The following is a 16,108-nucleotide window of genomic DNA, read 5'->3' as shown; positions in this document are numbered from 1 at the left end:
GCAGCCAACTGTGATGTGGCTTAACCCAGGGCAAAACAAAGCCCTGAGACTCCAGTAGGTAGAGCTGAGGTTGGGCTCTGGTGCAAACTCCTGAAGGGCTGGCTTCAACATGAGCTATATGAATTACTTGTCTAGACAGTTCCCATTTCACTGAATCATTAAGTGGTCCTCCCGCCCCCTTAGCAATGTTCATAACTCACATAAGCATCTTTCTCAATCACATACTTCTTTTTCCTTCACTATTATTTTCAAATGACATTACTGCATCATTGTACTTTTTATTTTATTTTTTGGTAGTGAAGACTTTGCTATTCCCTAACTGCAGGAGAAAAACCCAACAAAAGTTATTAGAAGATCTAACTGGAGAAGTGGTTAATTTGCTCAGTTGAGTTAGAATGAACCCCTTGGAGCTTCATGGGGTTTGTCTCTAAAGTCCTGCAGTCTAATTCTGGTCCTGCTTCCATGGGGAGGGCATGTGGCTTTCTGATACCTGTCAAAGACAACTCAAAGTAACATTCCAACACCAAGTCCAAGCTTTTCTCCAGGCACAAAGGATATGGAGTCCAAAGATTTGGTCTTTGCCTTCCTGGAGCTTGGGGTGTAGAGGGAGGCAGATGAGGTTCTAGGTGGCAATGTGGGGAGGTAACTGCTAGAAACTGCCTGACTACTCCCCTTCTCTCCTCAGCCCCCACCTTTCAAACTTTGGGACAATGCGGGGAGCAGTGTCTCCAGCTGAGAACATACCAGAAGGGGAAGATCTGAGTGTGGCTGAAAGAAAAACACACAACTAAGTACAGGCCTTTCAGTATACTTCCTGAAAAATCTTGTGTTCTACAAAATAGTGCAGTTTATGAGAGAAATAAGAGCAAACAACTCAAAATCTGTCCAGCTTTTTAACCAGAAGCCAGGAAAACCCAAATTGGTTCCTGGAATATAATTTGACACCCCAAGTAAGAAACTCAGAACTCTGGAGTCTGTCTCAGGGAATATTAAAAACATACAACATCAAAAAAGTGGCACACTGGCTTGCAGGTGCTGGGGCAGGGCGGTGAGGCAGAGCTCTGAGCCAGCGGGGTAGCCATTACAGGTGTACAGGAGGAAGCACAACCAACTGCAGTCCTGGAGCTTCAGCGACCTCCCCTGGGGGCAGCCCGAGGCATGTGCTCATGTCTCATTTTAAATTTGCCTAATACACATCTAAAAAGGCTCCTGCCTATGCAACACCCTACTGAGAGTTTTGGGTTGTGTGTGAGTGTGTGTGTATGTGTTTGTCCTGTTGAAGTTTTCAATTCTGCTCCCACTATTCCACTTCCCCCTGCCTAGGAAAACTTACAGATGAACCAAACTAACTTGCATGGCACACTGATAACATTCTACCTTTTACCAGTTATTTGTGAACTAAGCAACGTTGTAACACAAGTTGTAACAGAACAGGCTGCACCTCACAGGGCAGCTGAGCCTGAAACACAAACCCCATGGAGCTGGCAGAAGGGTCCTGCCATGGCAGTAGCCTTGGGCCAGTTCAGACCAGGAAAGACAACCTGCTCTTCAGGCCGCCGTAAGTGGTGGAAATGGAATTGTGGGATACAATGGGATCATCTGATCCTTTACGCAAGTTGAAAGTTTAACGTGTTGTTTTGTGTGAATTACATGGATTTCTATAACCTTGTGTTGACATTCTTGTATCTGATGGGATGTCAGTGTGGGGCACTTGTGCTGGAGGGGACTAAAGGTTCGACAAAGCAGGCCACCTGCAAACAACCTGGCCTTGGTTGGCATGGGCCTTACGGGGTAGAGTCAGTCTCTGGAGACAAATTTACTGTCTCTGTGCCATGCTGATGGCAAGCTCCTCTTGACAGTACATGGGGAAGGAAGAGTGAGAGAGTCAGTACAATCCAATACTTAACCCTGGGCAGTTTGGAGGGAGAGGCTGAAACAGATCACTCATCCTGACGGGTAATGCATTGTTCTAAACATCATGGTGCACAACCTAAATTACAGAAGGAAAAAAACCAAAAAACACAAACCTGGAGGCAAAAGATATTTGATTCCTAAGATCTAGATCAGCAAAACCACAGATGGGAGTTAAGGAACAACATGGCCATAAACTCAGCAGACCATAAACTCCTTACGGGCAAGGACCACTCCTGACACCATGCCTGAACACAGAAGGTGCACGATCAATTCTTTTTGAAAGAAAACATTCAGTATGACATGTGGGCATGAACCACATTTAGAAAACATGTTCGTGCATTCTTTCCCCTCAAAATAAATAAAACACCATTTTACCACTTTACAAAATTACTCAAAAGTTTTAAAGGTTTTCTTGTAGTTTTTCAAATTCCTTCATTGTTTGCTTCTTGAAACAAAACAAAGAACTGGATCTTCTGCTTATACAAAGAGAACCAGCCCACTTTCTAGTATTCTTAGACTTCATTAAGCCTAAGCTGATACTATTAATCGCATGGGTATCGCCAAGAGCTTCTGACACTTTCCAAATTACAGGACTTTCCTGTTGCAAGATCAGATAACTGTATTATTTGGCATTTCATTACCATTTGCCTTACCTATTTGAAGCTTATTTTTCCATCTATGTTTCTGTTCCCATACAAACTTGAACCACTTAAATTTCCTCTACTTTTGCAAGATTTTATTTTAAAGTTGGAAACTTGATTTTTAAACTTTTGCTTTTGACCGCTGCTTTTCCATTTTTACATTTGCTATTTTAATCACAAATTTTGCCCCTGTTTGATTTGGCTGTCTACTTTTGGCTGCCATTGTTTTAAAACCCCATCTTGTTCCTTTTCTATATCTAATTTTGCATTTCAGCTCTTCAATTTTCTTCCCCAAACTCTACAAAAGTCTTTTTAAAGTACATGTCTGTTTCATTCACTCTCTTGGACAATGTTTAAACAGATACTCAACGAACCTCTGTACAGAAAGAGATTGTTGGTACTAAAGCAAAAGAGAATAATTGTGGGAAAAGGTATCAGTGAAGATGTGAAGATGCAGTGTTCTGGGCATCTTAGAGAAGAATCTCTGTACTACCTAGTGTAATCCTGCAAGGATGGGGAGGTGAGCATAAGGAAGGGAATCTGTTGAGGTAAAGGCAAGGACTGTGCTCAAGATTCATCAAGATGAATATCCCAATACTGTCATGTTGATGTCATGTGGCTATCATGTGCCCTTGAAATGATGGGATGAGGACACTTTACCTGCATAGTATTCTTCCCTCAAACCCATAGCCCCAGTCTAACAAAGAAAAACATCTGAAAAACTCATTTTGAGGGACACTCTACAACACACCTGACCATGCTCTTCAAAACTGTCAAGGGCATGAAACACAGGGAAGACTGAGAAATTAGGACAGGCCAGAAGAGACTAAGGAGACATGATGACTACATGTTAATGTTGGGTCCTGGGTTAGCTCCTGGAATAGAAAAAGGATGGCAATGGAAAAACTGCTGAAAACCAAAGAAAGTCTAGAATTTAGTTAATAGTAACGTACCAAGGTTGGTTTCTTAATTTTCATAAATGTACCCTAGTAATACAAGACGTTAACACTAGGGGACACTGAAACTGGCTAAGGGGTACAGGAACTCTCTCTACTATCTTTGCAACTTTTCTGTAAATATCTTAAGTTACTCCAAAATAAAAAGGTTAATAAAATTAATCCAAATAATGAAGTATTCTCAAACTCCTTGTATTTGTGGCTTTAACCACTGGCTCCATTTTCTTCTTTTCTCCACCTTCTCTAATTATTTGTAATACTTTGTTTCTGAGATGAATGTGTGACTTTAGTCTTTACGCTTCTGAAATGGTTTCTTCTAAGGTCACCTGACTTCATAAAGAGGTCCTGTAATTGTTCATCAATTCTTCTCCATAAAATCAACAGTGGTGACTATTTTCACCTTTAATTATCTCAGCTTCCTTAATCCCACATGCACACATTCATTCATTCCCTCATGGATTTCTTCAACATATATTCAGAGCCCTATCATAGGCCAGACCTTGAGCAACCCTTCACGACCTGCTGGTGATTTGGAGTCCCAGCCCTCAAGTCATCAAGATAAAGAAAAGTGAAATTCTGCATGACTTGATCATCACAAAACAAGGGCCTGTCTCAGAGGCCTTGCCAAATCTCAAAGTATGATTTGCTGTGCTGTTTGAAAAGCCTTCACTTTCCATTTTTTTCCACCTCTCCCTTTCCTCCCCAAGCTAGGACCATGCTATGCTCCCCTAAAATCATAATGCACTGAGTAACTGAGTCCCACAGACTATCTGCGTGAAGAGTGCCAGTATAAACTGATTCTTCATGGTCAATTTAGTGAGGAAATTACAGCACAGACAAAGATTCCATTTTCCTGTTTTGTGTATGATTTTCATCTTTTGAAAAAGTTAGGAGGATTGGCTCCAGGAGTGGATTCAGTGCCTCTTTTGACTTTACTATGACTGTCTCAATGCATATTGGCCCTAGAGCCAATACATTAGGCCAACAACCCTGGAGAGTGACATTCCTGGGAAGAGGTGTTGGGAGGTCTGTAGAGAGGTATAGCCCAGGCCCCCCTTTGCTGAAGATGCACAACAGCCTAGGGGCTGTGGTGGCTCCCTGAGTATGTGGAAGGCAGGGTGGCCTCAAACTGGGTCCCAGCCAGGCTGATACAATTCTGCTAGTCAAGGCTTTCTCAGCATGCTGCAGTGACGGGACACTTGTTTTGTTTTTTCACTTGTGGACCAGACAGACTCCTAAAGGGTGGGCTGGGAATCCCAAGGTGGAACAGCTCTATGCTAAGGTGAGGTCATGAGGCTTTGGGCGTGGGGTGCTGGGGACAATGGGAAAGTGTGGTGTGGACTTGAGCCAGGATGGAAATGCTCCCTGAGGAATAAAACCCTTTCATCCTTGCTGTGGCCTACAGAGCTGTGCTCTGATGCCTACCTACCCCTCTGACCTTCTTCCCAACCACCCTCCCAGCATTTTTCCATGCATCATCAATGCTGGTCCTCTTTCTAGTCCTCAAACATGCCAGGATCATTCCCAATGTCTTTGCACGTGCTGTTCCCGCTGCCTGGAATGGTCTTTCCAATAGATCTTCACAAGGCTTCATGTCAATCACAGCTCAAATGTGTCCTCAGAGAGGGCTTCTCTGCCATCCATCTAAAATTGTCCTTCAGTCACTATCACAGGAACCTAACTGAGTGCTTCTCAAACTTTCCTGATTGATGGCACCCACAGAATTGGTATGCTGTGCTGTGCTGAACTGTATTTAAGTTCATTCAACTTACACTATATAATGCAACCGTATCTAAGTTCAGTCTGCTGCAAATTCCCCGAGTAAGATGACAAACTCTGATGCGGCACCTGGCACATACAAGGGCTGAAGTAACAGCATATTTAGTATTATAGTTCTTATTTTGGCCATTTGTCAGAAAGACCTCATTTATAAAATGATTTCTCTCTCCAACTCTCACTTAAGACATTTCCTAACTTTATTCTCCCTAAAGAGGTACAGCAGCCTGAGATGATCTTCTGTAGAAGATCTTCTGCTTCTATTCAGTATGTATTCCATACATAGAATATATTATGATCTGATATGTTATTTTTCAAGTCAACTGTTTTGCGTCTTTTATGTTCCAATGCTTTAATCATCTTTGCTCCCAGCCACCTCAAAGTTCCTTCATTTCTCTAACTTGTGAAGCATAAGACTTGATATGTTACTACTGCACTCAGTTCATTTAAAATTGAAAGATTTTCAGCAGATTTTTAAATTGTTAAAACATGCTTAGTATTTGCTTTTGGATAAAATATTGTGTTCCTTTTCATCTGTGATCCATGATAACCTCTAAATTGTTTTCTACCATAAAAGTTTGCAAAGAAACATACCCATTATTTTCATTCACTTCCCCACCCTAATTTTGATTAACTTTAGCACTCCTAGTTCATTTCCATAGCACATGATAAGTGTTGAGAGGCATTTTTAAGTGCTTTCTGGGCTGACCCTATATTATATACAAGCATCTCTAACCAGATCCAATACCTAGATGCACGGGCTTGCCCTGATTACACTCCATTCCTTTCAGTAACTATATCAACTCTAACCACCATGCTATTTATCCCTGTACAATGGGGCTCTAATTAAGGTCCAGTTCCCACAAATGTTCTGGAATTTTATGAAAATATTTCTCTATGAGATCAGTATTGTGGATTAGTTCTACTTTATTTCTAAAATCAATCAATGTCAAAGGCCTCATTCTCAGTTTTATATTTAAACATGTTCCACATTCCTGGGCAGATCTTAAACATAGTTAAATAGGTGTGTTCTCTGCATGATTTGTTCCCTCTTTGGCAGCAGAAATTATGTAACATGCACTAAATAGAGGAGGCAGAGATGGGAAAGAGAAGTCAAAAGATGACTCAATGACACATCAAAATCAAAATTAGGGTGGGGGAATGAAAGAAAACAATGGGTGTGCTGCTTTGTGAGCTTTTATGGTAGAAAACAATTGAGAGGTCATGATGGATCACAGATGAAAAGGAACACAATATTTTATCCAAAAGTGGGAAGAGTTATTTGCATTTTTAAATTCAAATCTGCCTTCAAACATTAGCTGTTCAAAAGATACAAGGTTTAGTTAATTAAGTCAGAGGACACTGGATTATTCCATCAACTCAGCCTTGCTATGTCGAAATGCTTCTCCAAATGACCTTGGCATTACCTAGCCCTGGCATGTAGGCAGTAAACAGCTCATGTTGGCAGAATTGGAAAATACCAGCATAGAGGAGAACAGAAAGGGAGGGGAGATTGAGAATGAACAGAACACAGCCTTGGAAATCAGATAAACCCACTTGAGGTATACCCAGCTTCTGCCATGTACTAGTTGAATGACCTTTGATAATTGAAGTTATTAAATGTGAGTCTCAATTTCTTTCTTTGCAAAATAAGAATCCCAACACTTACAAGTTTATACTGAAAATAATCATATATGGATCTGTGATACACTGAAAGTGCCGAATATGTGTGAATTGTTTTGCCTCTTTCTGCCTTCTCTAAAAGAAAAACACACACAGCTTTGGTGGATTTTTTTTCACACTCATCACCAACAACAATCTTATTGTTATATATAAAGAATTGCGCTGGACGGAAAGACATATCATGTTCATGGATTAGAACACTTAATATTGTTAGAATATCCATGCTACCCAAAGCAATCTACAAAGTCAGTGTAATCTTTATCAAAATCCCAATGGTATGGCTTTGCAGAAATAGCAAAAACAATTCTAAAATTCATATGGAACCACCAAGGACCCTGAATAGACAAAACGATCTTGAGAAAGAAGAACAAAGCTGGAGGCCTCACACTTCCTGGATTCAAAACATATTACAAAGCTACAGTAATCAGAACAATGTGGTACTGGCATAAAACAGACATGGAGACCAATGCAACAGAAGAGAGAACCCAAGAATAAATTCTCACATATGTGGTCAAATGATCTTCCACAAGGGTGCCAAGGTTACACAATGGGGAAAGAACAGTCTCTCCAACACGTGGTATTGGGAAAACTGGATTTCTATATGCAAAAGAATGAAGTTAGACTCTTACCTTACACTATGTACAAAAATTAACTGAAAACGGATTAAAGACCTAAACATATTATCTGAAACTAGAAAACTCTTAGAAGAAACTTTACTGGAAAACCTTCGTGACATTAGATTTGGCAATGATGTCTTGGATATGACACCAACAACACAGGCAATAAAAACAAAAATAGACAAATGATATTATATCAAACTTAAAAACTTCTGCTCAGCCACGGCAACAATCAACAAAGGAAAAAGACAACCTATGGAATGGGGGAAAATATTTGCAAACGATATATCTGAGGAGAGATTAATATCCAGAATATACGAAACACTCTTACAACTCAACAACAACAACAAATCTAATTTAAAAATGGGCACAGGACGTGAACAGACATTTCTTCAAAGACCATATACAAATGGCCAATAGGTGCATGAAAAGGTGTTCAAAATTAATTATCAAGGAAATACAAATCAAAACCACAATGAAATATCACCTCACATCTGGTATGGCAGCTACCATAAAAAAAAATAGATAATAACAAGCGTTGGTGAGAATGTGGAGAAATTGGAACCCATGTACACTGTTAGTGGGAATGTAAAATGGTGCAGCTGCAATGGTAAACAGTAAGGTGGTTCCTCAAAAATTAAAAATTGAATTATCATAGTATCTGACAATTCCACTTCTGGGTATCTATCCAAAAGAACTGAAAACAAGACCTTGAAGAGATATTTGCACACCCATGTTCACTGCTACATGACTCACAATAGCTAAAATGTGAACCCAACTGTAGATGAATGGATAAAGTGGCATATTCATACAATGGAATATTATTCATCCTTAAAAAAAGGACGAAATCCCATCATATGCTACAAATGGATAAAGCTCAAGGGCATTGTGCTAAGTAAAATATGGGAGTCACCAAAAGACAAATACTGTATGGTTCCAGTTATATGAGGCATTTAAAGTAGCCAAACTGTTAGAAACGGAGAGTAGAATGGTAGTTCCTGGGGCTGAGAGAAGGAAGAAACAAGGAGTTGTTCAATGGGAACAGAGTTTCAGTTTTGTAAGATGAAAAAGTTCTAGAGATCTTTTACATTGCAATGTGCATATACAGTAATTAACACTATTGTACTATACACTTAAAAATTGTTAAGATGGTCAATTTTATGTTTTTTTTTTTTTACCATAATAAAAAAAAAACAATTGTGCCAAACACCTAAGATACCTAAACATGGTCCTCAAATTGCTTAGAAGATAAGTGTATGGAAAATATAGTACATGGTATCCTATGTGGCATGGCAAAAATGTGCTAGGGAAAATATGTGCTTCAAAAACTCAAGTGTTTGAGAGACTGCTGCTCCTTGGGTAGTCAGGGCAAGAAGAGAGAGGCTTCCTCCTTGGCCGTGGAGGAAGGATTGAACTTAGAAGGAGGTGCTGCTGGCAGAGAGGAGAGCATTAAGCAAAACTGCAATGAAAGGACAGCAACTGGGTACCAGGAGTTGCATCAATTAGACCAGAGTGAAGGGTTTGTCTTTGGAAATAATGAGAGAAAAGGTAGGAAAGGTAGGACCCATCTGATCAATGCCAAGCTACAGCACTTAGAATTGATTTGTCATCAATTCAATACTAATGAGGGTTCTTGAGCTTGGGGATTAGATGACCTTGTAACATTGACCTGTGCCGGGTGTGGCGGCTCACACCTGTAATCCCAGCACTTTAGGAGGTCAAGGCAGGTGGACTGCTTGAGTTCAGGAGTTCAAGACCAGCCTGGGCAACATGGCAAAACCCCATCTCTACAAAAAATACAAAAAAAAAAAAAAAAAGTACAATGTGGTGGTGTGTGCCTGTGGTCCCAGCTACTTGGGAGGCTGAGGTAGGAGGATTGTTTGAGCCCAGGAGGGTGAGGCTGCTGTGAGCCATGATCATGCCACTGCTGTCCAGCCTGGGTGACAAAGTGAGACACTGTTTCAGGAAAAACAAAACAAAAAAAAGATTAACTTGGTTGCCGTGTGCAGGATCCATGCAAAAGGCAGAAACCAGAGGCAGAGAGGGCAGCAAGGATGAATACTGCAATGTCTAGGAGCCAGTGGTGAAGCCTGGATGGAGAGTGGGCATGGGAGTGGAGGAAGGTATGATTCCAGACAGACAGAAGATGGGACTCTGCAAGGAGGAAGAATATTAGGAGAGGCAGCCATGGGATTTGTATTTAAAAAACAGAAAGACAATAAAGCACTGTTTCCCAACTACTATCAGCCAGACATTATCAACACCCAAGCACAACTGGGGTGAAAAAATGCAAAATATTTTAAAACACATTTCAGGCACTTTACACAGCAGGAAGGTTTTGTGGGTTTCAACTTGCAATGGACCCTAAAATGTTAGCATTTAATTAGGCGAGAAATAATCAGCTTTCTCAAGAGGCATGAGTTGTTCCCCTCTTAAAGCATGATAAATTACAATACTATATGGATTATTCCCATGGATTCTTTCTGATTAGAAAGTGTTACAAAATTTAATATTGTTTTGAGGAATATAATCCAACAGCAGTGTTTCTGTTGGTTAAAAATTACTTAATCATTAAATTCGAGTGAGTATTCGATTTCTATCACCAACGCATGCTGGCTTCATGCCACCCCAGTTAGGATAAGCGCCTAAATCATTATGAGAATCACTTATAACCCACCCTCCCCTTGTCATTTTAACTCAAACATATTTAATTCCACACTTTGAAAATCCTATTAGCATATACCAGCCATTCTATCTGTAAATGATATGAAGATAATGATCCCAAAACAATATTTTAATTCAGGGCATCAAGCCCATTTATTTTTCTAAACAATAACAGTTAAAATACATTATGAGAAATCTTTACAGCCCAGTGGTTATATTCAATGACTGAAAACTTTATGTTGATAAACAGGAAAAAAAAATTCTAACAGAGACTACAGTGGTCTGGGGACCTATACAACACGGTGACGCTAGCTTGGCAAGTAATGCTTTTCCACAGGGAAAGTCGTTCTTAAAAGATTAAACTTTATCTCTGTAGACAGGACTCCTTGAACAAAGAAGTAGGCACTACAAAATAAATTTATTTTAAAAATTTATATATTATTTATATGTATGTGTATATATATTATTTCACTCACATATATGCCTTTTTTTTTGTTTTTGAGATGGAGTCTCGCTCTATCACCCAGGCTGGTATGCTGTAGTGCGACGTTGGCTCACTGCAGCCTCTGCCTTCCAGGCTCAAGCGATTCTCCTGCCTCAGCTTCCCAAGTAGCTGGGACTTCAGGCACACACCATCACACCCAACTAATTTTTGTATTTTTAATAGAGATGGGGTATTGCCACATTGGCCAGGCTGGTCTCGAACTCCTGACCTCAAGTGATCTGCCTGTGTCAGCCTCCCGGAGTGCTGGGATTATAGGCATAAGCCACCGTGCCCGGCCACATATATACCTTTCAGACACATAGCCATATTCCCCTTCTCTTATTAACACAGCATTTTGGAAAACATTCGCCTGTATAATGGTATTATCATCGCAGAAAGGTTTCATTTTGGGTGCAACAATTTCAGAAACTGCACAACATCTTTCCTTTGGCAAAATACTCTTTGGTGGTTGGAATGCAATGGCAGTGCTGGTGTTCCATTTCTTGGATGGTGAGGTCTGCAGCATGCCCAGTGTTCATGTATTTCCTTCTCTCTGGCTGGTAATTAATTCATCACCCTGCTCAGAGCCCAAAGCTTCCAGCAAATGCTCCTGGAGCGGTTGATCTCATTTTTAGCTGCTACCAACCCTGTGGCATGGCTGCTACCTTCTTTCCATTTTTAGCTGGAAAGAAGGGAGGAGCCATGTCAGAGTCTTTTCCTTTCTTTAGTATTGCTTATGGTAGAGACTGAGTCACTTCCTCAGACTCATTCTCCCCTTCTCCCTAAGGACAGAACCCTAGTTTTATTCCAAGCATCATTGTGCCTGGTTAGATGGCTATAGTTTCCACCCTTTCCCGTATCTAGAGGTGTCCAGTGAAATGTCAGTAGAAGCTATGGGGTAAGTTTCTGGGAAAGGTCCTTAAATGGGGAACAGGGAGTAACGTACTTTTTGCCTTTCTCCTCTTTCTTTACCTTGCTGCCTGGAATGTGGTTCTGTTGATAGGAGCTCCAGCAGCCACCTTGGGCCTGGAGGCAACCTGGATGAAAGCTGCATGCTGGGAGTGATAGAACAAAAAGACTGAGGAACTTAAGATCCTCACTGCCCATACGCAGACTTCTTTCAAGTGAAAGAAAAAAGAAAACCACCTTTGGGACTATAGGCCATGATTATCTTGGAATCTTCTGTTTATGAAGCCCATTCTCAATCTCAGTAACATAATAATTCATCCCAACTGCTTTCTATTGTACAACTAAATCAATTTTTAATATGAAACATTAATTTTGTTGTACCATGAAGAAACATTAGCATGCAAAAGCTGTAGTTCAGGTAAGTGACAGGTACAATTACATATCCTTAAATTATCTCAGTTCAGCTCAAAGAACATCTCAGATTCACCTAGAACAAGCGACGTTCCAAACTGATCTGTAACTTAAGAAACCAAAGGATGGTATTTAGCTAAATCTATCCCTTCCTCTATGGGAGAAGCTTCTGCTACCAGGCAGATGAGTGCCTATGCTGGTGGTTTACTGTGTAGGCAAGAGATTGGCATGAACTGTGACTGCCCCTCCAGAATGTAAGCAGGGGAAGGCCCTGTCCTGAACGCTGCCAAAGCCTGAAGTTGTAACCAGTCCCTCTAGTGACTCTACCATGGGCTTAAATGAGACGCATGGTCTTTTCCTGAGGTGAAGCCTCATGGAGTTACTAAAAACAAAAGGACAGGGTGCTTGGGAGAGTTTCTGGGGACAGGGGCATGTGTTTGTAAAACAGTTTTTACCTGGGATTAAGCGTTTTTAGACTTTCTCCTCTACAGCCCACATGGGAGGTTTCTAAGTCCAAATTCTTCTATGTTACAAAGATAATAATATTGACACTCATTTTAATCCTTTACAGTGTCTACAGTCTACAGCTGTCATGACCCAGCAGAATTTGAGCAGGTCCTATTTGACTTGTCTGGTATTGGATGTCCCGAGCACAGGGAAGAATGTTCCATTCTTTCCCGTGTCATGTTTCTAACAAAGAGAAACTATACTTTTAGTATCCTATTTCAGTTTAGAGTGGTATTGGCAGGGTGAAGTGATGAGAGGGAGGGAATGAATATTGGGGACAATCAGTTAATCACAATAAGATGCTCAAAGTCCATTCCTTTCCTGGGGCAGACTCTGCTCTGAGAGGGGCCACTGTCTACTTGCGGGCTTTCTTCTCTGGTTAAAGGGACTTTGGTGCCTGGGTCTTTACATTTGAGGGCAGGGTTGGAACTGCTCCAAGCAGTAGGAGAGGAGAGCTCCATTTCAACATTCTCAAAAGTAACCCAACAATTCAAATTTATGGTGAGAAAAACGGGGTTGGGTTGCTATTGGCAGTTGTCAACTTGAATTGTTAGCAATTTCTACCTTTCGAGGAAACTGTGACTTAGGTCACTGGCACCATCTCTTCTCCCCGCTTTCTGAAAAGCAATAAATTGCCCACATTTCCTCAGCCTCCCTCCTCTCACCCGTCACTGGGCCTGAGCCAGGTCAGCTGTATCAATACTTTGGGAGGTGCGTGGACCATTAAGCTGGGAGTCAGTGGAGACCTTTCCTACCAGCACCTCATCAGAGCACCTAAATCACTTCTTAGGCCCTGAAAGAGAAACAGATGCCAAAAATATGTCGATTTACAAAATGTTTTCATATCTTTAGGGTATTTTATTTCTCCTGCTTCTTGTGACATAAATAGCACATAACCCTGACCCTGGGATCTTTTAATAACCAGCTGTGAAATTTCACTAGCACTGGCATAAAATCAAGAGCCGAAAATAATTCATCCCAATGTATGGAGGCTTCTGTCCTCCTCTGATGGGGCTTTGATTTGGTAATGGTTTATAAAGCCACCCTTCTTCCTGATCTGAAACAGAACTTAAAAGAAAAATATCAAATTCACTAATGGGCAAGAATCCAGAAGGTATTTCTCTTGGGGTCCATCGTGTGGTGGCGGTGGGGGTGGGGGGTCAGAGTATGGAAAAGTAAATAGGAAACATTGTATATAATACAGACTTCAGTTGCTTGAAAGCTTTTAAAAGTATTTAATTAAAAGCCAGTGTCCTATTGGGGAGCTACTTACATTTTGTGCTTGCTTTTGTTGAGACACAGAGGCTGACAATGACTTGGGATCACTGAGACATTTAGAGCACAAGGTTTCCCAACTTGGAAGGGGGGTTAGAAAAGAAAAGATGGGGACAGAGATGAGCTCCGTCCTTTTTTTAAAAAAAGTTAGTATTCACCTATTTTATTATAATTTAACCAAATAATGTTCCTCCCCGCAGATGCTCAGTTTGCAAATACAAACAATAAGTGCAAATGGAAAAATAGTTCTTCCTAAATTTTTTCACTTACAAAGGTTCAGGTGTAAATTGAAAAGACTCTCCTTGTTGGTATGCCTAATTTCCTTGAAAAATTGGCCCTCACAATCTTCAATCAAATTAAAGTTAGATTATACCTGGGTGTCCCATCCACAGGTGCCACCTGAAAGCGACGCTGTAAACTAGGAAGGTCAGAGCCAAGGCTGCTAGGGACAACCATGCGCTCATTAGTGCTCTAAAGGCCAGTCCTGGGGCCACCCAGGACAGGGTTCACATGCAGCGCAACCTCTGATTAGCTGTGCTGTGCTTTTGGGCAAGGTGACCACTCTGAGCCCTTCTTGCCCCAGCTATGATGATGGCAATAGCCCTTCCCTCACAAGGAAGGCAGCCGTGGCTGATTTGACAGACCGGGTATGAAGTGTCTAGCGGAGTGGCAAGAAATAGTGTGAGCCCAATAAACCTTTGTCCTCTGGATGACAGAGCTGTCCTAAAGACAGAGAAAGTTCATGCCAGCAATTCTGGGGCAATCTAATCACACTCTTCACAGTGAGTGTGAAGTGTTCACACTGAGGTCTATGGAGGTCTCAGAGTAAAGCTAACGCCCCACATTCAAACACTAATGTTGATATAGACTAGTCATATGGCCCACAGCAACACATTAAGCTTCCCGGAGCCTCAGTTTATTCAGCTATCAAATGGGGATAATAGCTACATTTTCCACACAGATGATAAAGATCACATGAAAGGAGCTCTTTGTACCTGTGGGGTGCTACATAAATAGAGGTTATCATTAAGTTTGAGATGGCTCCTGTCCAAACTCAGAGGAAAGGATAAAAATTATTTTTAAAAATCAAAGAAATATAAGAGTGAGAGTTAGACAGAGCACTGGCTTGGCAGCCAAAGCTCAGAAGACGCCGCAGGTGGTCTCACAATTCAGTGTTAACTTCTCCAGCTCTGTCACAAAAAAATCCGCCATTCTCACATTACCCCAGAGCCCATGAAATCTGACGAGGGGCAAGCTGGCTTAGCATTCATGCTTTTATACCAACCTTACTAAAGTCTTCCCAAACCATTTTTACTCTGGATATCTCAAGCAGGTTTATTTATTTTGGAGAACAACCATATGGCTCTGAAGTATCTTCTTGTCGACTCCTCTAAGCCAAGAAACCTACCTGAATTCACAAATTTTATTTGGAAAGTTTGATGGGTAGAGTGGTTTTTTGAGGGGCTACTTTCCTCATTACAGTGATTAACCCTTTTTCAACAGTTCATTATATGGTTCTAAAAAAAAAAAAAGACATTTCATGGAGGGCAAAGGGTTTAAATGTGGCATGCTTCAGTAATAATTCTCACCACAAGCAAATCGATTCCTGCTACTAGGTTCCATGAGCATGGAATTGATTTAGGGGCTTCTTTAGAAACAATAGGGAGCTTCTGCACTTTGAAAAAGACCCTGGGCTAACTCTGGACCTGGGACACAAAGGGAAAGAGGCTTCCTTTACTGCCATGTTTCTTTTCTAGAAGCTTCCTTCTTTCAGGCTCATGGAGTTGGTGAAGCCAGGTCCTCAGCGGTTTTGCTTTCTCTTACAAATATGCTTCATGGGGCTTCCCTTCAAAACAAAACCTAAGTAATCCCAGCACTTTGGGAGGCCGAGGTGGGTGGATCACTTGAGGTTAGGGGTTCAAGACCAGGCTGGCCAACTTGGTGAAACTCCCCCCCTCTATTAAAAATACAAAAACAACAACAACAACAACAAAAATAGATGGGCATGGTGGTGCGCACCTGTGGTCCCAGCTGCTTGGGAGGCTGAGACAGGAGAATCACTTGAACCCAGAAGGCAAAAGTTGCAGTGAGCTGAGACTGTGCCACTGTACTCCAGCCTGGGTGACAGAGCAAGACTCCATCTCGAAAATAAAAAATAAAATAAATAAAATAAACAAAACCTAAGACGAGGAACAGCCATACTACCTTAGACTAATGGTGTCCCATCCACTATGGACTACATGTATGCTGTTGTTTTGAGAAAAGAAAATG

General features: G+C 41.1%; 1 protein-coding gene and 1 long non-coding RNA gene across 8 annotated transcripts in view; one reads left to right on the top strand and one right to left on the bottom strand.

Moving 5' to 3' along the window:
* Nucleotides 1–16,108, bottom strand: part of THSD4 (thrombospondin type 1 domain containing 4) — a 686,490-nt gene that overhangs the window by 275,120 nt on the left and 395,262 nt on the right. The gene's annotated exons all lie outside the window — the stretch shown is intronic.
* The window catches only part of LOC107984716 (uncharacterized), a 46,156-nt gene that overhangs the window by 16,335 nt on the left and 13,713 nt on the right, over nt 1–16,108 (top strand). The gene's annotated exons all lie outside the window — the stretch shown is intronic.

The sequence above is a fragment of the Homo sapiens genome, chromosome 15 (genome assembly GCF_000001405.40).
Source record: "Homo sapiens chromosome 15, GRCh38.p14 Primary Assembly".
In the NCBI taxonomy this organism is placed as follows: domain Eukaryota; kingdom Metazoa; phylum Chordata; class Mammalia; order Primates; family Hominidae; genus Homo; species Homo sapiens.
Note: the sequence above shows the minus strand (reverse complement) of the source record. Positions and strands in the feature narration are given on the sequence as shown.